The sequence below is a fragment of the Homo sapiens genome, chromosome 4 (genome assembly GCF_000001405.40).
Source record: "Homo sapiens chromosome 4, GRCh38.p14 Primary Assembly".
In the NCBI taxonomy this organism is placed as follows: Eukaryota; Metazoa; Chordata; class Mammalia; order Primates; family Hominidae; genus Homo; species Homo sapiens.
The window spans coordinates 97,546,927-97,570,948 of record NC_000004.12 but is presented as its reverse complement, the minus strand read 5'-3'; the positions used below and the strand labels follow the sequence as shown (position 1 = coordinate 97,570,948).

At 36.8% G+C, this 24,022-nt stretch overlaps 1 protein-coding gene across 5 annotated transcripts in view; it reads left to right on the top strand.

Moving 5' to 3' along the window:
• Positions 1–24,022, top strand: part of STPG2 (sperm tail PG-rich repeat containing 2) — a 702,228-nt gene that overhangs the window by 572,528 nt on the left and 105,678 nt on the right. Inside the window, exon 11 of one of the 5 annotated variants that reach the window (NM_174952.3) lies at positions 11,832–12,077. The exons of the other annotated variants lie outside the window; for them this stretch is intronic. Within the exon in view, the coding sequence (NP_777612.1) occupies positions 11,832–11,891 (60 nt within the window). The 3' untranslated portion in view covers positions 11,892–12,077. Of the gene's footprint in view, positions 1–11,831; positions 12,078–24,022 lie in introns of those variants that run through there. 5 annotated transcript variants of the gene reach the window in all.

Below are 24,022 nucleotides of genomic sequence, written 5' to 3'. Positions count from 1 at the left end.
CTGAAATGAACCCCTGTAACGAAAGACTGATTAACACAAAAAAGACAAACAGAAGTTTATGAATGCGTATATTTCACAGATATGTGGAAGACACCCAAGGAATGAGTAGTTCTCAGATGGCTTTGGATTCCAGTTTACATAGCATCTTCAATAAAAAATAACAAATTTTTAGAGAAGTGAGAAATCAAAGGAAAAAAACCTTTGAGTCTGTTGAGGCAGCAACTTGGGGGAAGGCTAATAAGTGGTAGATAAAGGTTAGTGAGTAAACCTTGTTAATGTAGATTCCTCTGTACCATCTCCATTTCCATAAGACTCCAAAATTGTCTTCAGTGGTTAACCTTTGTTCCCCCTGGTAGCAGTGGGAGTGGGGGCAGGAAAAAAAAAAAAACTTTTGTTTTTGCAAATCTAGAATACCTAGAGTGGGCCAGGATAGCTAGAGTAGAGAGTGGTATCTTTTATCTTTGGCCTGCTTTTAGGCAAATTGAGGACGGGCAAGGAGATTTCCTGTGTCTTCTTGTTAGTTGTCTTCAGCTCAACAATCATTTATATTTTGGGGAAGAAAATCCTGACTTCCCATAGTTGTATACATCATGCCACCCCAATGCCTTGAAATTTTAGTGTGCATTTCCAAAGAATAACAATATATGTATTATAAAACCGAGTTTAGCTATCAAATTTAGAAAAGGTAACACTGATAGAATAGCTTTAGGTAATTAATAATTCACACTTTAATTTTGTCCATTATCACAATAATGTTATCTGAAGCATTTTTGGGAAATACAATATTCAATCCAGGATCTTATACTGCATTTAGTTTTCATGTATCTTTAGTTTTCTTTAATCTGAAAGAGGCTTTGTCTTTCATGACAGTGACAATCCTTAAAAAATTGAGAAATGTTTCTCAATTTGGGTTTTTCTGGTATTTCCTTATGATTAGCATCAGATTATGTACTTTTTGTTGGAGTAATATATAAGTAATGTATGTACTTTTCAGGATATATTACATATGGAGGCACATAATTACTATTTGTCTCTTTTTGATGAGATTAATTTTCATCATTTGGTTAAAATTTTGCTCATTTTCTCCACTGTATAGATATCATTTCCTTTTATAATTAATAATTTATAGGGAGATACTTTGAGACTGTGTAAATATTCTGTTCCTCATTAACTTTTCCTTACCTATATTTAGCATCAATTGATGATTTTTATCCACTCCAATCCTTAATATAATGGTTATCAAATAAAATCTTTTCCAACCCTGCCACTAATTTCAATTATATTATTAGCTATTTACTATAAAGAAGAGCCCTCCCTTCTACTTTACTTGTTAATCTACTATCAATTTATTATCAGTATGAACTAATGGATTTCTGTTATATTCAGTTGATTCTAATCCATCACTGTGTCAGAGGCCTTTGAATCGAGGCGATTCCATCTTGAATAGGGGCTGGGTTAAGGCTGACACCTGGGCTGCATTTCCAGGAGGTTAGGCATTCTTAGTCACAGGTTAAGATAGGAGGTCAGCACAAAGTACAGGTCATAAAGACGTTGCTGATCAAATTGATTGCAGCAAAGAAGCTGGCCAAAACCAAGATGGTGACAAAAGTGACGTCTTATTGTCCTCACTGCTCATAGTACACTAATTATAATGCATTGGTATGCTAAAACACACTCCCAGGAGCACCATGACAGTTTACAAACGCCCTGGCAATGTCCAGAAGTTACCTATGTGGTCTTAAAAGGGGAGAAAACTTCAGTTCCAGGAATTGCCCACTCCTTTCCCAGAAAACTCATGAGTAATCCACCAATTGTTTAGCATATAATCAAGAAATAACTACAAGTATACTCAGTTGAGCAGCCCATGTCTCTGCTCTGCCTATGGAATAGCCATTCTTTTATTCGTTTACTTAATAAACTTGCTTTCACTTTATGGACTTGCCTCAAAGTCTTTCTTGCACGATGCCCAAGAACCCTTTTTTGGGGTCTGGATTGCTACCCCTTTCCAGTAACAACTGCAAAACAAAACAAACAAACAAAAAAAAAAACAAAACAAAAAACAAAAGAAAGAAAAGAAAAGAAATTAATGTTCATTCACATTTGGCCAGGGCTAACCCCTTCAAACAACTGCTAGGATCTTTTGACATGCCTCTACCCATCATTTGTTGTTGTTGTTTGTTTGTTATTAGCACTTTTTGGGAATGTAATTTCTGGTACAAGAGAATGTTTGGGATCATTTTGTATCTTCCTTGCTCAAGTTCTGGACTCAGTCATTTGTTTGGGTAGCCTGTTTTTTTTAATTATTATTATCTATTGCTCTTTGCTCCTTTGTTTTTTAGTGGGTAATAGTATTTAGAAATTAAGATCTGGGTGCTAAATGTGCTCATTGCTACTGCAGTATGTATGGTTGTTTCCAGCCCTCTCAGCAGAGTGCATGTGTGTGTGAGAGAGAGAGACACACACACACATATATATGTCAATACTTGTCTCCATTCACATGATCACCCACTACAGGGCTCTTGTCTTTCTCCCTTCCACTATTACATACTCATAACTTGATTCTTCCAATGTGAGATGTAACATCAACACATTTACTCATTTGCTTAACCATGTCCTGAAATCAACAACACATTTATTCACTTTATCAACAGTACCATGCACAAAAAAAGTTTCAGGATGGTAATACCCAATATATCTGTGAAAAAGAAAAAGAAAAAACAACCTACTAAGACGAGTTCAAAATTTGTTTATGTTTTCTTTTCTTTTGGACTAATTTTTTTTAAAGTATGTTCAAACGCTGGGCATTAGTTTTGTTTATGTTTTTGTTTTTCCCTCTCAGTGTGGCTATGTTATTCATTTGAAATGAAAGTTGGTTCATTTGTCACTGTTTGCATCCACTATGTTTCTAATATGAAAAACACTGCTGTGCTTCTAAAAGTCAAAACTATGCAACAGTGTATACTTGGAGAAACTGTATTCACTCCAACCTTTTCCACCTGGTTCAATAGGGCTCCTACTCTTTGTAGGTAAATAATTTCTTGATTTCTGGTTTATCATTCTTCAGTTTCTTTTGTTAAATGCACATATCTATATATTCTTTTGCTCCTATTTCCTTACACAAAGGTCATATAATGTACATATGCTATACACATATACAACATGCGGTATATCTTTTATTCTTTATTTTATCTATATGTAATATACAATATATCTTTTGTCCTTTGATGTTTTACACATGTTAATGAAGAACCCTCCATATCAATTCATAGAAAACTTCCTTACTCTTCTTACAGCCACATGGAACTTCAATGTGTAAATCCAGCATAGTTTATTTAACCAATTTCCTATATTTGGACATCCCAGTATTTTGCAATTGTAAATATTGCTGAAATTAATAGCCTTGTGCAAATCTCTTTTCTTATTGTTGGCCTAATATGTTCAGGATAAACTCCTGAAAGTCAGATTATGGGGAGAGGGGAGAAAGGGAATATATATATATACATATATATATAAAATTATATATATAGTATTGTTAGATATTGCTAAATTCCTCTATTTCGGGATTGCACCAATTTGCATTCTCACCAGCAATATATGGGAGTGCATATTTCCACACAGCCTCACCAACAGTATGTACTGTTCAGGTTTTAAAATTTCCCAGTCTGGTAGTTGAGAAATAGTTTCTCAGTACAGTTTTAATTTAGCAGATATGTAATTTAAAGGGTGTGTGTGTGTGTATGTGTGTGTGTGTGTGTGTGTTACAGCTATGACTACCTTAAAGTAAGCTATTGTTTTGGGATATGGGGCAATAAAAATAGTGTAAAATCCAGCCTGATAAACTATGTAAGGATTAGATTAATGTTATGAAATTTTAGGGGCCATTTCTTTCTTTTATTTATTTATTTATTTTATTATTATTATACTTTAAGTTTTAGGGTACATGTGCACAATGTGCATGTTAGTTACATATGTATACATGTACCATGCTGGTGTGCTGCGCCCATTAACTCATCAATTAGCATTAGGTATATCTCCTAAAGCTATCCCTCCCCCCTCCCACCACCCCACAACAGTCCCCAGAGTGTGATGTTCCCCTTCCTGTGTCCATGTGTTCTCATTGTTCAGTTCCTACCTATGAGTGAGAATATGCAGTGTTTGGTTTCTTGTTCTTGTGATAGTTTACTGAGAATGATGATTTCCAATTTCATCCATGTCCCTACAAAGGACATGAACTCATCATTTTTTATGGCTGCATAGTATTCCATGGTGTATATGTGCCACATTTTCTTAATCCAGTCTATCATTGTTGGACATTTGGGTTGGTTCCAAGTCTTTGCTGTTGTGAATAGTGCCGCAATAAACATACAAGCCAAGATGGCCAAATAGGAACAGCGCCAGTCTACAGCTCCCAGCGTGAGCGACGCAGAAGACGGGTGATTTCTGCATTTCCATCTGAGGTACCGGGTTCGTCTCACTAGGGAGTGCCAGACAGTGGGCGCAGGACAGTGGGTGCAGCACGCCATGTGCTAGCCGAAGCAGGGCGAGGCATTGCCTCACTCGGGAAGCGCAAGGGGACAGGGAGTTCCCTTTCCTAGTCAAAGAAAGGGGTAACAGACGGCACCTGGAAAATCAGGTCACTCCCACCCCAATACTGTGCTTTTCCAACGGGCTTAAAAAATGGTGCACCAGGAGATTATATCCCGCACCAGGCTCGGAGGGTCCTATGCCCATGGAGTATCACTGATTGCTAGCACAGCAGTCTGAGATCAAACTGCAAGGTGGCAGCGAGGCTGGGGGAGAGGCACCCGCCATTGCCCAGGCTTGCTTAGGTAAACAAAGCAGCCTGGAAGCTCGAACTGGGTGGAGCCCACCACAGCTCAAGGAGGCCTGCCTGTCTCTGTAGGCTCCACCTCTGGGGTCAGGGCACAGACAAACAAAAAGACTGCAGTAACCTCCGCAGACTTAAATGTCCCTGTCTGACAGCTTTGAAGAGAGCAGTGGTTCTCCCAGCATGCAGCTGGAGATCTGAGAATGGGCAGACTGCCTCCTCAAGTGGGTCCCTGATCCCTGACCTCTGAGCAGCCTAACTGGGAGGCACCCCCCAGTAGCGGCAGAATGACACCTCACACGGCCGGGTACTCCTCTGAGACAAAACTTCCAGAGGAACGATCAGACAGCAGCATTCACAGTTCACGAAAATCCGCTGTTCTGCAGCCACCGCTGCTGGTACCCAGGCAAACAGGGTCTGGAGTGGACCTCTAGCAAACTCCAACAGACCTGCAGCTGAGGATCCTGTCTGTTAGAAGGAAAACTAACAAACAGAAAGGATATCCACACCAAAAACCCATCTGTACATCACATCATCAAAGACCAAAAGTAGATAAAACCACAAAGACGGGGAAAAAACAGAGCAGGAAAACTGGAAACTCTAAAAAGCAGAGTGCCTTTCCTCCTACAAAGGAACGCAGCTCCTCACCAGCAATGGAACAAAGCTGGACAGAGAATGACTTTGACGAGTTGAGAGAAGAAGGCTTCAGATGATCAAACTACTCCGAGCTACAGGAGGAAATTCAAACCAAGGGAAAAGAAGTTGAAAACTTTGAAAAAAATTTCGATGAATGTATAACTATAATAACCAATACAGAGAAGTGCTTAAAGGAGCTGATGGAGCTGAAAGCCAAGGCTCGAGAACTGCGTGAAGAATGCAGAAGCCTCAGGAGCTGATGTGATCAACTGGAAGAAAGGGTATCAGTGATGGAAGATGAAATGAATGAAATGAAGCGAGAAGGGAAGTTTAGAGAAAAAAGAATAAAAAGAAACGAACAAAGCCTCCAAGAAATATGGGACTATGTGAAAAGACCAAATCTACGTCTGATTGGTGTACCTGAAAGTGAAGGGAAGAATGGAACTAAGTTGGAAAACACTCTGCAGGATATTATCCAGGAGAACTTCCCCAGTCTAGCAAGGCAGGCTAACATTCAGATTCAGGAAATACAGAGAACGCCACAAAGATACTCCTCGAGAAGAGCAACTCCAAGACACATAATTATCAGATTCACCAAAGTTCAAATGAAGGAAAAAATGTTAACGGCAGCCAGAGAGAAAGGTCGGGTTACTCACAAAGGGAAGCCCATCAGACTAACCATGGATCTCTCGGCAGAAACTCTACAAGCCAGTAGAGAGTGAGGGCCACTATTCAACATTCTTAAAGAAAAGAATTTTCAACCCAGAATTTCATATCAAGCCAAACTAAGCTTCATAAGTGAAGGAGAAATAAAATACTTTACAGACAAGCAAACACTGAGAGATTTTGTCACCACCAGGCCTGCCCTAAAAGAGGTCCTGAAGGAAGCACTAAACATGGAAAGGAACAACCAGTACCAGTCACTGCAAAATCATGCCAAATTGTAAAGACCATCGATGCTAGGAAGAAACTGCATCAACTAACGAGCAAAATAACCAGCTAACATCATAATGACAGGCTCAAATACACACATAACAATATTAACTTTAAATGTAAATGGACTAAATGCTCCAATTAAAAGACACAGACTGGCAAATTGGATAAAGAGTCAAGACCCATCAGTGTGCTGTATTCAGGAAACCCATCTCACATGCAGAGACACACATAGGCTCAAAATGAAAGGATGGAGGAAGATCTACCAAGCAAGTGGAAAACAAAAAAAGGCAGGGGTTGCAATCCTAGTCTCTGATAAAACAGACTTTAAACCAACAAAGATCAAAAGAGACAAAGAAGGCCATTACATAATGGTAAAGGGATCAATTCAACAAGAAGAGCTAACTATCCTAAATATATATGCACCCAATACAGGAGCACCTACATTCATAAAGCAAGTCCTCAGTGACCTACAATGAGACTTAGACTCTCACACAATAATAATGGGAGACTTTAACACCCCACTGTCAACATTAGACAGATCAACAGACAGAAAGTTAAAAAGGATATCCAGGAATTGAACTCAGCTCTGCACCAAGCAGACCTAGTAGACATCTACAGAACTCTCCACCACAAATCAACAGAATATATATTTTTTTCAGCACCACACCTATTCCAAAATTGACCACATCATTAGAAGTAAAGCTCTCCTCAGCAAATGTAAAAGATCAGAAATTATAACAAACTGTCTCTCAGACCACAGTGCAATCAAACCAGAACTCAGGATTAAGAAACTCACTCAAAAGCACTCAACTACATGGAAACTGAGCAACCTGCTCCTGAATGACTACTGGGTACATAACGAAATGAAGGCAGAAATAAAGATGTTCTTTGAAACTAATGAAAACAAAGACACAACATACAAGAATCTCTGGGACTCATTCAAAATAGTGTGTAGAGGGAAATTTATAGCACTAAATGCCCACAAGAGAAAGCAGGAAAGATCCAAAATTGACAACCTAACATCACAATTAAAAGAACTAGAAAAGCAAAAGCAAACACATTCAAAAGCTAGCAGAAGGCAAGAAATAACTAAAATCAGAGCAGAACTGAAGGAAATAGAGACACAAAAAACCCTTCAAAAAAGTAATGAATCCAGGAGCTGGTTTTTTGAAAGGATCAACAAAATTGATAGACCGCTAGCAAGACTGATAAGAAAAGACAGAAGAATCAAATAGACGCAATAAAAAATGACAAAGGGGATATCACCACTGATCCCACAGAAATACAAACTACCATCAGGGAATACTACAAACACCTCTATGCAAATAAACTAGAAAATCTAGAAGAAATGGATAAATTCCTTGACACATACACCCTCCCAAGACTAAATCAGGAAGAAGTTGCCTCTCTGAATAGACCAATAACAGGTTCTGAAATTGTGGCAATAATCAATAGTTTACCAAACAAAAAGAGTCCAGGACCAGATGGATTCACAGCCGAATTCTACCAGAGGTACAAGGAGGAACTGGTACCATTCCTTCTGAAACTATTCCTATCAATAGAAAAAGAGGGAATCCTCCCTAACTCATTTTATGATGCCAGCATCATCCTGATACCAAATCCAGGCAGAGACACAACCAAAAAAGAGAATATTAGACCAATATCCTTGATGAACATTGATGCAAAAATCCTCGATAAAATATTGGCAAACCGAATCCCACAGCACATCACAAAGCTTATCCACCGTGATCAAGTGGGCTTCATCCCTGGGATGCAAGGCTGGTTCAATATACGCAAATCAATAAATGTAATCCAGCATATAAACAGAAGCAAAGACAAAAAACACAGGATTATCTCAATAGATGCAGAAAAGGCCTTTGACAAAATTCAACAACCCTTCATGCTAAAAACTCTCAAGAAATTAGGTATTGATGGGAAGTATCTCAAAATAATAACAGCTATCTATGACAAACCCACAGCCAATATCATACTGAATGGGCAAAAACTGCAAGCATTCCCTTTGAAAACTGGCACAAGACAGGGATGCCCTCCCTCACCACTCCTATTCAACATAGTGTTGGAAGTTCTGGCCAGGGCAATTAGGCAGGAGAAGGAAATAAAGGGTATTCAATTAGGAAAAGAGGAAGTCTAATTGTCCCTGTTTGCAGATGACATGATTGTATATCTAGAAAACCCCATTTTCTCAGCCCAAAATCTCCTTGAGCTGATAAGCAACTTCAGCAAAGTCTCAGGATACAAAATCAATGTGCAAAAATCACAGGCATTCTTATACACCAATAACAGACAAACAGAGAGCCAAATCATGAGTGAACTCCCATTCACAATTGCTTCAAAGAGAATAAAATACCTAGGAATCCACCTTACGAGGGACGTGAAGGACCTCTTCAAGGAGAACTACAAACCACTGCTCAATGAAATAAAAGAGGATACAAACAAATGGAAGAACATTCCATGCTCATGAGTAGGAAGAATCAATATCATGAAAATGGCCATGCTGCCCAATGTAATTTATAGATTTAATGCCATCCCCATCAAGCTACCAATGACTTTCTTCACAGAATTGGAAAAAACTACTTTAAAGTTCATATGGAACCAAAAAAGAGCCCGCATAGCCAAGTCAATCCTAAGCCAAAAGAACAAAGCTGGAGGCATCACGCTACCTGACTTCAAAGTATACTACAAGGCTACAATAACCAAAACAGCATGGTACTGGTACCAAAACAGAGATATAGATCAATGGAACAGAACTTAGCCCCCAGAAATAACGCTGCATATCTACAACTATCTGATCTTTGACAAACCTGAGAAAAACAAGCAATGGGGAAAGGATTCCCTATTTAATAAATGGTGCTGGGAAAACTGGCTAGCCATATGCTGAAACTGAATCCCTTCCTTACCCCTTATACAAAAATTAATTCAAGATGGATTAAAGACTTAAATGTTAGACCTTAAACCATAGAAGTCCTAGAAGAAAACCTAGGCATTACCATTCAGGACATAGGCATGGGCAAGGACTTCATGTCTAAAACACCAAAAGCAGTGGCAACAAAAGCCAAAATTGTCATATGAGATCTAATTAAACTAAAGAGCTCTTGCACAGCAAAAGAAACTACCATCAGAGTGAACAGGCAGCCTACAAAATGGGAGAAAATTTTCGCAAACTACTTATCTGACAAAGGACTAATATCCAGAATCTACAATGAACTCAAACAAATTTACAAGAAAAAAACAACCCCATCAAAAAGTGGGCAAAGGACATGAACAGACACTTCTCAAAAGAAGACATTTATGCAGCCATAAAACACATGAAAAAATGCTCACCATCACTGGCCATCAGAGAAATGCAAATCAAAACCACAATGAGATACCATCTCACACCAGTTAGAATGGCAATCATTAAAAAGTCAGGAAACAACAGGTGCTGGAGAGGATGTGGAGAAATAGGAACACTTTTACACTGTTGGTGGGACTGTAAACTAGTTCAACCATTGTGGAAGTCAGTGTGGCGACTCCTCAGGGATCTAGAACTAGAAATACCATTTGACCCGGCCATCCCATTACTGGGTATATACCCAAAGGACTATAAATCATGCTGCTATAAAGACACATGCACATGTACGTTTATTGGGGTCATTTCTTTCTAATGACAAGAATGAGTCAAACACATTTCCTTATAGATTTGCTTTTCTGAGTCGTTCCCCCCTCCCCTCAATTTTACTCATTCATGTTGTCACCTTCTGAGAATACATCTTGGGTATAGGTCTCTGATCTTCTTTACTATGTTGTACTGGCTCTTTCGAAACAAATGTTCCATGCTACCAGATGTTGAATCTCTGGATTCATGCTTTCTCATTGTTTTGTTTTGTTTTACTTTGATTTTTGCCTATGGGTACTTCTCTCTTCTCTGGTAAATGGAGAAAAGGAGAATTTAGATCTATGGCTTTAACAGTGGACACTCATCTCCTTCAATCCAGTGTTAAAGAGGAACATGTTTTCATTGCTCGTGTCTGATAAGCCCTCTCTTTTTAAATATTCCCTTACATTTACAAAGAGTACCTAGTTCTTTCCCTCTCTTAAAGGGCATGGAGTCTCATTAAACAGTCATGTTCTTCAAATGAGATTTATTTGCCCTTGTCTAGACACTTCTAGTACTCCAAAAAGGAAAGGAGAGAGTCTTATGGCTGTACCCAAAGTTTTACAATATGATTGATGACAGAGCACATTAGATTTTCTATTTAGCCAATTTTCCTAGTTATATTTCAGCAGAGAAGGGTACTATTTCATAGTTAGGAAACAGAGTAATTTTCCGATGATGTCATAACTCCAAAATGTTGGAATAAGAATTTTGACTCAGACTCATCTGCCTCCAAGACCAATTTCCACTGTACTACACTGCTTTGGAATAAAAATTATCCTAAGGGTCATCATGGGAATCTGTAGTCTGGGAGGATATCAGATATTAAGGCCTGATCAATGAGAGCAGACACTGTTTAAATATGATCACCCTACCGTTCAGATTTGTCTGTTAAGTAGAAAAGATTGAGACTTGTGGAGGACAAATGACTTGCATCAGTTGAGGAAGGCTGGAGAAGGAAAAGGCAAGGAAATTAAAGAATTGAAAATGCTTTGCATACAGTAGGCTCTTACTATATATTTATTAAATATTTGTTATTGAGTAATGAAGTGTTGGTTAAAATATTTTGATCTTTTTGTCAAAAGGACATTAGGAATTGGAAATAGCATAGAATACTTACAGGTAAGATAACTTAGGCAGGAGCTGAAACTGAATTGGTCAAAACTCCAGAGTAGAAAAGAGAGAATTGAAGGTTAAATATACTGTAGTAATCAGTGCAAAATAACTAATGTTCTGGAAATCAGAAAGTTAGGACAAAGGTCAGTGAAGTCATACTTTAGAGTAGTCAAAAAAGCCTGGAAATTAATTGAAGCTGAATAGCTTTTGCAAATTTCAGAGGAAAAATAAAGAACAAAAAGAATTGTAGAAAGGTTTGACTTGAAACAGTTTCATCTATAAATAGAAACACCAAGTAAGCCATATCCTATTAGGATAGGAATGCCTGACCTTCACTCACTTGATGCTGTTTGCTACATGTGTGGGCCTAGACAACAGACTATTACAAGTAAATAAGTGCACAACAGACCTACTTGAAGTAAAAAATAAAAGTACTAGACTTAGATATAAAATTAATATTGATTATATTCACAACACAATTAATTTTTGAACGAAGTAATAAAACAAGCTCTATCGATGTAAGTAGATTATATCATTTTATATATTTAACTTCTAATTTTGTAAGAATCGTTATTCTTTGGTAATGTTTAAATAATGAATATTATTTTTCTTTTTGTAAGTAGATGTTTTCCTCCTTTTTTTCTCATTCTTATTAAACAGATATCCCAGGAGAAAAAGAAAGGAAATCTCATTGGTGAAATGGCTGCTGATATAATGTGACATAAATTTATGGCAAAAACTTAAAAAACAACTTCATGGAAGTCAGTTTATTTCTTTGTCATTTTAACAAAATTTATTCCAAATATAGGAGTAATAAAAGCATAATTTTCACTTGTTCAGGCATTCGCTCAGGCTTTAGTGACTATATGACACAACCACGGAGAAATAAACCTTGTTAAGACAAAATTCTTTAAAAAGTCATATTGTATTATTTATCTGTTATTGCTTAACAGTTAACCCCAACATTTTTTGGCTTAAAGTAACATTTATTATCTCATAGTTTCTTTGGTCTGGGAATTTAGGTGCAGCTTAGCTGTGTCATCAGGCTCAGTCTTTTGCAAGTCTGCAATCTAGGTGTCTCCTAGGCTCAGTCACATGGAGGTTTGGCGGGGAAAGGATGCCACTTCCAGTGGGAAGGATTCACCTCCACACGGGCTGTCAGACTGAAGCTTTAGTTTCTCCTTGGCTGTTGGCTGGAGGTTGTCCTCAGTTCCTTGCCATGTGGATCTCTCTATAGCGTAGCATACAATAAGGCAGCTGGCTTCCTTCAGGGGAAGTGAGCAAGAAGAGCCAGAAAGAATTTGAATAAGTGAAGTCAGGCTTTTTTGTAATGTATTCTCAGAAGTGAGATCCTATTCACCTTTTTCCTTAAGGGCGAATCACCAGGTCCAGCCCACACTCAAGGAGGGGAAGGTTGTAAATACAGATGGGAGGAAACTGTCTTAGAAGGCTGCCTACCACCTATGTTTCACTGTTTCCTCCCCATTCTGAGATTTTTACTAATTATCAAGTAGGATTTATATAGTCCACAAATCAGTAAGTAACATTTCCCAGACTGGCACATTCATTCTCAACTTTATTAATTAAATATTTATTGAAAAAACCTGAATCCATACAATGTCACTGTATATGCTACTGTGTGTATTTTATCATAAGGGTATGTATGAGAGTATATGGATGTATTAGGCACAGATATATGCAGCCACTCTGAAAGATATACCAGAGGGTTCTTATGTAAAGTGACAACTATTCCTTGTTAAGAAAATGCAGGAAAGGCTCGTTTGGCTTAGGAAGTAGTCTGTGTTCTGCTTTAATCTGGATTTCTCATTTGTGTATGTCACTTTGCTCTTGTTTCTATGCCTTTCTTCGTTGGTGTTGATATCTCTTACTTCAGGATCCTTATTCTGTTTGCAAGAAACTCTTAGTATCTGCTAATGCAATTGCTGAAAGGTCATTTTAAGTATAGTCTTTATAAATTGATTTCTGCAGAGTCTTTGCTTCCTTTGCTCCAATATGCCCTGCAAAATCCTTTCCGCCTGCATTAGTTGTTAACCTCAAGAATAACTTTTGTCTATTTGCTTGGCCCTGTAGCTCTTTCTCTTGCCTGAGAAATCTGTGCCTACCCTTATGTCTTTTCTGCCACCTTATTTCTTTTTGTGATGCTAAGGTTAAGGGTATGTTTTACATCCCATTCATTTTGGCCAGATGAGTCAGTTTTTCAGTGGCTGAGTTGAAATGTGACCCTGCCATGTTTGCAGTACCAGGATATCAACAAAAATTTAGGAATAATTTTCTTCACAGTGTTTTATTTTCACTATTTTGTATGCTACATGATGATGATAAGATAGAAATGATAGATACTATACATCTTATTTGAAAAAATTCTGAAAAACTTTTATTGTTTATCATTATGGCAATATCAAGGACTGTTTTGACTCCCTTTCTCTCTCTCTCTGATTGCTAACTAGGGAATTACAAATCAAGAGGCCTCCTTTATAACTTTAATTTTCTAAATGAGTAACTGTATCCAGTTTATTCAATTTCGTTTTATGCTGGCACAAACTTCCTAAGAAGGTATGACAGTATTTTGTTTTTTTTTTGATGGAGTCTCGCTGTATCACCAGGCTGGAGTGCAATGGCATGATCTCAGCTCACTGCAACCTCCGCCTCCCAGGTTCAAGTGATTCTCCTGCCTCAGCCTCCTGAGTAGCTGGGACTACAGGCGTGTGCCACCACGCCCTGCTAATTTTTGTATTTGTAGTAGAGACAGGGTTTCACCTTGTTGACCAGGATGGTCTCGAGCTCTTGACCTCTTGATCTGCCTGCCTTGGCTCCCAAAGTGCTGGGATTACAGGCATGAGCCACCAGGCCTGGCCAGGGTTATTTTTTAAGGAAAATTAATGTACTCTATTGGTATATAGGTCTTTTCTCTTTGGTCCTCTTATTTAGTAACTTTAATCCTTTTATTCTTTCAATCTTATAAAAAATAACTATAAAGACAAGGAGAGACTTTTAATTTTATTCCAAATATAGGAGAGAAATTATTATAGTTTTTTATAGTTATTTTTTGTTTCTCAAATAGAGCTAGATGTTTTATCATTCTATTTTAGTTTAATGCAGTAAAATCTTCAAGTTAGTGTTCTGGCTTATTAAATACTTGGGTTTTTTTGTTGAGAGAACAGAATAAAAATATGCAGATTGTGTGAATTCAGGTGTGTGATGTTTTCAACAGCCTCCAAATCATAAAATGCAATTTTCTCCTTTTAGTGCCTGGTTCATGATACTAAATGGCTTAGAAAATTGTATTAGGTAATTTTCTCTAGTGCATTTGATGCACATTGCACTAATATTGTGAAGTGCCTTTGTTTTAACACATTTTCTTATAAGTTAGATAAATTAAAATTTCTGAAGGATGGAATTGGATCAAGATGATTATGATTAGGAAGATGGCTCATTCCTCTCCAATAACATTAAATATGGTTAATTCCATGCATTACTGATGTAAACCTAAGTAACTTCACCATTTACTCTAATGACCACTTTCTTGCTTATATATTAGTAGATGAAGAGTGCTTTGTCTAATATTTATGCAACAAAGGCTCTTTATTCCTGCGAATGTATGTAGGAGATGTTACCTATATCTTCCATAAAAATATTTTTATTACTCAAAGTAGCTATTTTCAGAGACACCTAATAATGACTCCATTCATTTCAGGGGTTTTAAAAATTGTACTCAAATCTTAAGCAGGATAAGATTCTTTTATGCCTTCTAATGCTCAGGTAAATGATATGTGTTATGGTAAAACATTTATGGAGTGATAAAGACCTTTGTGGAATGATAAATACCTTTGTGGAATGATAAATATATGTAGCTGATGGAATGATACAGGCAGATAAGAATGACTTACTCAGAGCAAGAGCTTATCTTTGTGTCTTCTATTTATAAAGATGAGATTTCTATTGTATTTACCCATTTCTAGTAGATTATTTTCTTCATGCTACTCCCAATCTGTTCTATACTACCTATTTTGGGTTTCTGTTTAGGTGGGACTTGGCATATGTTGAGTGCTTAGCATATAGTGAACACTCAATACATGTTGATTTTACAAATTAATCTATGGAATTATTATGTCCCCTTACTCTTATGGTAGCACAACCATAAATAATTGTTCTGAGTTACATTTTAGGTTAAAAAATTAGCATTAAGTTATTAATGACAGATAATGTGATGTCTCACCATCATTCTTTCTACAGTAATCTTATTTTACAGGGAAGAAAACTTAACATGGTAATTAATCTTATAGAAATTTCATCCCCTTAGGCAGATTGAGGTTTAAGGAGATCCTACTGGTATCTTCAGTAGGATCACATTACCCAGTATAGGAGAGGAAAAATAATTTTCTCCTCCCAGTTCTTTGCTGGGACTCCCTGTAACATAAGATGGACTAACAAGGCAAAAACAAATGGTTGAATTACATGTATACTTCCTGTATACATGGGAAATAACCCAAAGAAATGAGTAAATATGTAGAGTACGTTTCAAAGAGTTTACTTATACTTCAGGCTTAATTACCATAGTTCTCTGAAACAAAGAAAGAAGGGTATGGGGGAAGATCTGGTTAAGACAAGCATGCCAGAAAAGCACCATAGAACAAGGGAGAAGTATGTTTTAAAAATTTAAGTTGATGCTTTCTCCTTTGATTAAGAGGCTCTAGTGATTTTTTGCTTTAGAGAGACACCATCACAAATGGATATTTACTTTATAGATGTAAATTTTACTTGTAAAAGGGTGACTTTTCAGAGCTTCTTTTGTGTCTGCAGCTTCTCAAAATAACCAGCTCAAAATAATTCTTATTCCATAAAGGCCTATTTCAAGTGACATATTCTGGCCTCTTACAGTCATACTTTAGGGTGGCATATTCTGAGCCCCATCACTAGCCAGTGTCTTCTGTTGAGATGAAATGAAGTTCAAGACAGTTTGCAACCACACCTATTCAAAGCAAAAGTGACAAAATCATTAAAAACAGATGTTGGGTAGCATAACTATTTATAGTATTAATAGTATTATCATTGGAGTTTTATACTCTTCCTTTTCCATTCCTGAAGTTTAGAAAACATAGGCTTAGATATGAATGTTGTTTATAGCTCAAGAAAATTCTATATTGTATCACTTCATTGAAAGAGAATTAGAAAATAAGACAGACAAGAAGCTTAGATTTAACAGTAGAGAAATGAGAGAGTAACCTAATGGAAAGGCTCCTGCAACTGTGGCGATGGCAAACCAGACTCACCAAAGCCAGAAAGAAGGTTCAGGACACACTTCTGCCAGAATGCCTACCCTGGCACAACACTGTACAATCAGAAAAAGATATCCTATTTTCCAGCCTCTCTCAGAGAAGGGAAGAATTTGGTTCGGGACTCCCCTGAAGACTGGATTCTTTCTTGTCAGGTTTGGGCCTCTGACATGATTGGCACAGTCTAGCTGTCAAGGGGAGAGTAGAGATGATGATTTGTACTGGTAGATGCCATAAGTCATACTCACTGCTCAGCATAGAGTGAGCTGATGAGAAACCCCAGCTCTCACCTTTCTTTTGAGGAGGAAGAAGTTGCTCTGTTGTCCAACACTCCAACTTCTCTGGGACTGCTCAAAGGATAGAAAAATGAAACTAAAGCAATTGGAAACATAGGTTTGGAAATGGAAACATAGGTCAGAAGTTATTTATAATGACACTTTAGAAGAGTTAAAGATAACGGTAAGAAATTAAATACAGACCTTAGAACTGTTAGAAAATAAAGAGTTGAAGTTTGAACTTGAATATATTAAAGTGTCTGTCTGTATGGCAGGACTCAATAAATCAAGTCTTAAAATTGAGATAATGAGATTGAGCCAATACTGAGAAAAACAGCTTATCATTGTCACTCTCATGAGGTTCGGTTTGCAAATACTGTTGAATAGACTAATCCAAAGATTGAATAGTCCAAACCAAAGAGAGGGCTATACCCATAGTTAATCAGAGCTGCCTGCTGTTGTTAGACAGACTTGGGCTAAGACAAAATAGTCTTACCAAGTTGAGAATGTGTCAAGAGAGGTAGAAGGATTTTCCTAAGATATTGCAGATCTTGAGAAGCAGAGTAAATTTGACCCCAGTTAGGTGGCATCCAGTCCTCTGTTCTTTTCAATATGTCTAGAATACTTTTTTTTACCTAAAACATAAGCAGATACTGAGAATCTGAAATAGAAAAGGAGACTCATAAATGATGTGTTTAAGTGAAAGCAGTCCTAGGAGACACTGACAGTTGTCACAATTTAGAGCCTACATTCATAAAACTGCTTGCATAACTTATATCTCAGTTTCACAGGAAGAAATGTAGTAATATTTAACAGTGATGAAAAAGGGATGACTTGTCCTCATAGCATCTACAACAGTCTGATGACTGTTTTCCTGAGCTTTGCAGCAACATATTATTATGTAACAAAAATAAAATGGCCATGATATACCAATGTGAAAGCAAGTAGAAAAAAACAAAAACAATTTCATTTTCTGCCATAATAGGAATGTGTTCAACAAAACCACTCATTGCAGTTTAGCCACTTATCTCCCAGATCCTTGCTATTAACATTCATGTCATAAAGAAATAGAATGTAAGCCATTAACTGCTACCATAGTAGAGAAAATTAGAGATGTACTTGAGAACTATAAAGAGGAACATTGCCATCTCCTTCTATAATGGGTGTAGATTATTCAGAAAAAAGGATCCATGGAAAAGAGTCTTGTGATTGCAAGTTATTACTCTAATAGAAAGTGATTAAGTGTTAAGACTACCAATCTGGTTTGATTTGCTTTAAAACAAATAACATGGCTTGATCTTTCTCAGGACTCAGGGCCTAGTATTAGTAATGTCAAATAAAATGATTTCACTGAACTACTAGTATCGTGGAAAATAACTGCTCGGATGCATTGAGAACTTGAAAAAAGTGTTCTTGTATTTGCTCCACAGTTAGTATTTGTATCTGTAAACTCAATATCTTTCATTTTTTTCTTTACATTAGAGTTTGCCATCAAAAGTATTACACTTCAGTGTATAGTTTTCTTGGATTTTAAAAATTAAAATTATACAAATATTTCAAATTTCAACATATATGTTTTGTGTGTCCTCTAGCATATATATTCAATTCATTTTTTAGGCTTACCTTTTCTGAAAAGAATTTAGCAGCAGAAGAATCACATTTTGGTAATTGAAAATTATCAAATATGATATGATATCTAGTTCTAAAAAGTATTACTTAGAAATTAGAATTAAACCTGATGAAAACATGGCAAAGAAGGGACAGAAGTGAGCACCAATTAGCTAGAAAAATTACTTACTGTCCCATAAATTTCTAGACCCATCATGATTCTAATTGCTAATATAATTTTTTATTTTATAAACACTTTTTTGGCACTTATCCTATGTAAGAACTATTATGTTTTTCATATATTTACTCACTTCTCACAACAACTTTATGTTGTAAGTTCCTTTATTATACATATTTTATAAATAAAAAACTGAGGCAAAAGGAGGTGAAATAGTTTGCCCATGTTCTCCCTGATATGGTCAGAGATATACCGAATAGAATGAAATACAAATCTGTCTTGATTTGAATATTGGCTATACAATATGTTTTTTTTCTATTTATGTAGGTAAGATTAGATTATCTTTTTGGTCACTTCCAGTATTTTCTTGGCCCTAATAGGACTTGTAGACAATCCAATCTCCAACCCTTTTTGAAGTGAACTGAACTAATTTTGATATGTATTAGGTTTTATTTGTGTTTTTTAAAAAGCATGTGTCTTTACATTTATCCTCATTGAATTTTGCATTATGTGTATCATCTCATTACCTAAGGACCCATAAGCACATAACTAGGATGTGAGACACCCCCCAGTCCTAGGTACCAGCTTGAGTGCTTCCCTGAATCAATGTCTGTATACTTAACAATTGTCAAAGAGATCTAGAAAAATATTTTTGTAGCAATAATAAGTGTTATTTTTTCTATGTACATGAGCGAGAGCTCCTCATCTTGATATTATAATTTGCAAAATAATAACTACAGTCATATAGTTATCAATTAGAAAGCGGAGACTAGAATTTAGGTTTCCCTTGATATTCAATAGAGATGAAAATTTCTTTTGTTCTAATTCAATCTGATCAACAGAAGATGATGTTGATGAGAAGTAATTATGAAGCCACATTCTCAGAAGAAGTTTTAAGTAAAATCTATCAGAAATGGCATAATGTTGTATTTAGTTGTGTGAATGATCTGAGTAAACTGAAAGCCCTATTTCATATAGATAGAGCTTTGTACACATTACTCAGTTTCAAAATATCTTTAGTTACTACTTTTATTTGACAATTACAGAAGTATTTGGATGCTTATTTTCTTTTTTTCTTGGAGGCTTATTAATTTTTAATTATACTGACTTCTCTTTTAGAAATCATGAGATACTCTATTTTTCTCTGTAGTCTTTATGAGAGGTGAAGCCAGCTGGGCTTCCTGGGTCAGGTGGGGACTTGGAGAACTTTTCTGTCTAGCTGAAGGATTGTAAATGCACCAATCAGTGCTCTATGTCTAGCTAAAGGTTTGTAAACGCACCAATCAGCACTCTGTAAAAACGGACCAATCAGCACTCTGTAAAATGGACCAATCAGCAGGATGTGGGCAGAGCCAAATAAGGGAATAAAAGCTGGCCACCTGAGCCCACAGCGGCAACCCAATGGGGTCCCCTTCCACGTGTGGAAGGTTTGTTCTTTCCTTCTTCGCAATACATCTTGCTGCTGCTCACTCTTTGGGTCTGCACTACCTTTATGAGCTGTAACACTAACTGTGAAGGTCTACAGCTTCACTCCTGAAGTCAGCAAGACCACAAACCCACCGGGAGGAAAAAACAACTCCGGAAGCACCACCTTTAAGAGCTGTAACACTCACTGCGGAGGTCTGTGGCTTCACTCCTGAAGTCAAGCGAGACCACGAACCCACCAGAAGGAAGAAACTCTGAACACATCTGAACATCTGAAGGAACAAACTCTGGACACACCATCTTTAAGAACTGTAATACTCACCACAAGGGTCCGCAGCTTCATTCTTGAAGTTAGCGAGACCAAGAACCCACCGGAAGGAACCAATTCTGGACACAGTTATAGTAAATAATCTTAATAACATAGGTAATTAAAACTAACAGTGTTATAATATTCCATACAAGGTAGTAAATATATGTAGAACTAGCATAAGATTTTTCTAAACTAGGCTATTCCGTATTATAAGCCCAAACCACTCTTCCCCGTATCCTTTTTCACTCCACACATGCCACTGAATTTACTTACAAGATTATAATGTATTACTCTAAATATTTTTTTGTGTTTCTTGATTCTTTTCTTCACTTATTTGTTAGGTACATTATATCTTTGCCCTACTAGATTACAAACATTAAGACACTATTTTTCTTCATTTATACATATCCTTCTATACAAAATACTTTTAAGACCTCATACCACAGATCAGACAACATAATAAATCTTTAGTAGTGAGGAGCACTTCATAGTTAAAAATACTTTCGTACACATCTTTTCATTTAAAAGTATCATTTAGAAGGGAGATAAAGCAAGATAAAAGTATTTTTATATACATCTTTTAACTTTTGAACTATGAAGTGCTAGTTTATAGTTAAAAATACTTTAATATACATCTTTTTATTTAATTGATATTAAATGTGACAAGATATAATTTTATTATTTTATTCAGAATAAAATTGAAGCTCATATAGCTTAGATGGCTTATTCAAAGTCATAAATATACTGTATTAGTTTCCTAGGGATTCTTTAATAAATTATACCTGAAACTTGATAGCTTCAAACAACAGAAATATTTTCTTTAACAGTTCTGGAGGCCAAAAGTACAAGATCAAGGTGTCAGCAGGGTCACACTGTCTCTCAGTGCTCTAGAGGAGCTCTGTCTTTTTCCAATTTCTGGTGGCTTCCAGAATTCCTTGATTTATGGAAACATAACTCCAGTCTCTGCTTCCATCTTTACATGACCTTCTTCTCTGTAGTTGCCCTTCTTCTCTTTATAAGGAACTTATTGTTAGATTCAGGGGCCACCCTAATCAAGCGTCATTTCTTCTTGAAATGCTCACCTGAATTATACCTGCAAAGACCCTTTTTCCAAATAAGGCCGATTTCACAGGTTCTGGGGGAATGTATCTTTTGGGAAGCCATAGTTCAACTCATCACCCCTACATATACTAATTAGAGACATCTCAGGACTTGAATCTAGGCATTTGCACTCCAAATCTATTTACAGGCCTCAAAAGCTAATTATGGCAAGGGAAAACATAATATTTTAGAGTGACTATGAAAGTGAAAGACTTAGATATAGTGAAACTAATTTTGAGCAAGTCAGAGAAAATTTACATTTTCTTTAAACACTCATTTAGTTTTAACTAGGTCTAGGCAACAGGCTAGAGAATTAAATATATGTATGAAATATTATTTTATTTAATTTTCACAACAATGGTGTAATGTATACCTTATCCTAACTGCAGATGGAGACATTGAGATTAAGCTGGGCTAAATAACATTTGAAGGCCACAAGTTGGTAAATAGCACTGATGAAACTGGTACTCTGATCTGTTCACCACAAAAGTCATTCAATACCATGTCTGAACTCATTTTATTCCATTTCGTAGGCTGAGTACAATGATATGTTAGATATCTCAGAAGTTCTCATTCAACATTATTGTGGTGGATATAGTTTAAACCATAATAAAATATCACAATAAAAATGAGTTTTCAGGTATTAAAAAATACTTTTTATAATCTGGTATAGTAGGGCAATTTTAATACATGGATATTTTAAAATAAAATTGTCAATAGTTAAGTATAGCGCAATGTCAGAAATTGTAAATAAAAATATGAAATTTTCTCTAACATACCTTGTGTATCTTTTAGTAGTATCATCAGAATTTGCAAAGTGTCTTTTTTCTGTTTAGAAACAAAAAGTATTTTCAAATTCTAAACAACTACATAAATCAGTTTCCTTTGCAAAAATTGTATTACTATTATAGCAAGAATTCAAGAATAAAAAGAAAAGAATTCAAGAACTAAATCAATTTAAAATATAGACTCCAAATAAATGATTAATTAAATAATGATGTTTTATTATTTCATACTATTATTATTTCATACTAAGTTTATTATTTCATACTAAGTAAATGCTTACTCTCTTTGGCTTGGTCCCAAGCACTGGGAATGTAGTTGTGAACAAGGCAGACTAAATAACTGACTGATGGAGCTGACATTCTGGTGGAGAGACAATGACTTACTTCACTACCTGACTCTATAATTGGCAATGCTGATGCTCCATTTTTTGTTTTGTTTCGTTTTTTGTTTCAGCTTTCATGACATCAGTAGCACACTCAGCTGATTTTTCTTCTATCTATCTGCCTGTTTTTTCTTAGTTTTCTTCTCCACTTCATACTAAAAAAGTTGATATCTCCCAGAGAGCTCTTTTCTAGGCTCCCTACTCTTTTCATTTTCACGAGGAGTCTGTGCAGACTACTCATGTATTTTGTTTTGTTTTGTTTTGTTTTGAGACAGAGTTTCACTCTTGTTGCCCAGGCTGGAGTGCAATGGCGTGATCTTGGCTCACCACAATCTCCGCCTCGAGGGTTCAAGCGACTCTCCTGCCTCAGCCTCCCGAGTAGCTGGGATTACAGGCATGCGCCACCACGCCCGGCTAATTTTATATTTTTAGTAGAGAGAGGGTTTCTCCACGTTGGTCAGGCTGGTCGTGAACTCCCGACCTCAGGTGTTCCGCCTGCCTCAGCCTCCCGAAGTGCTGGGATTACAGGCATGAGCGACCATGCCCGGCTCATGTTTCTCTTTATACAGCTAAATCTTTATGTTCAATAGAGCTCCCTTCCTCGAATTAGAGTATGACAAATTTAACTGCCTGGACACATCACTTGGAATGCTTTATCCTCACTACCAACTCTCCTATTCAATCAATTGTTAATCCACCTAGTAAACATTTCTCTAGTTTGTCTGCTTCTATCTATCCTCAACGTCAACACCTTACCCATAATCACCTACCTGATCTTTATAAACTCCCAGCAGCCTTCAGTCTTTCTCCGCATCACCCACCTTCAGTCTATGTTTCACGTTGCAGGCAGAGTACTTTCTAAAATTAAAGTTTAAAAATATGCATCTACTGATTTAAAGCCATTTAAAAGGCCGGGCGCGGTGGCTCACGCCTGTAATCCCAGCACTTTGGGAGGCCGAGGCGGGTGAATCACAAGGTCAGGAGATTGAGACCATCCTGGCTAACACGGTGAAACCCCGTCTCTACTAAAAATACAAGAAATTAGCCAGATGTGGTGGCGGGCTTCTGTAGTCTCAGCTATTCAGGGGGCTGAGGCAGGAGAATGGTGTGAACCCAGGAGGCGGAGCTTGCAGTGAGCCGAGATCGTGCCATGGCACTCCAGCCTGGGCGACAGAGCGAGACTCTGTCTCAAAAAAAAAAAAAAAAGTTTCTCGTCTTTCTCACAATAACGTCCAACTCCTTATTATGGCATGATGACTGGGCCTTGGTTTATCTCTCTAGCCCTTTTACCCTTTTCATTTTTAGTTCGTACGTATTGAACTTCTTTCATTTGTAAGAATCTACACATGCAACTGCTTCTAGCTCTTCTAACTCTTGCCCTTCACTTGAAAAATATTTTTTTTAAAAAAACCTATATTAGGAATCAGGTATTCCAGAAAGCTTTACATAATGCCCTAAATTTGGATTATATGTCTCTTCTATATTTATTGCA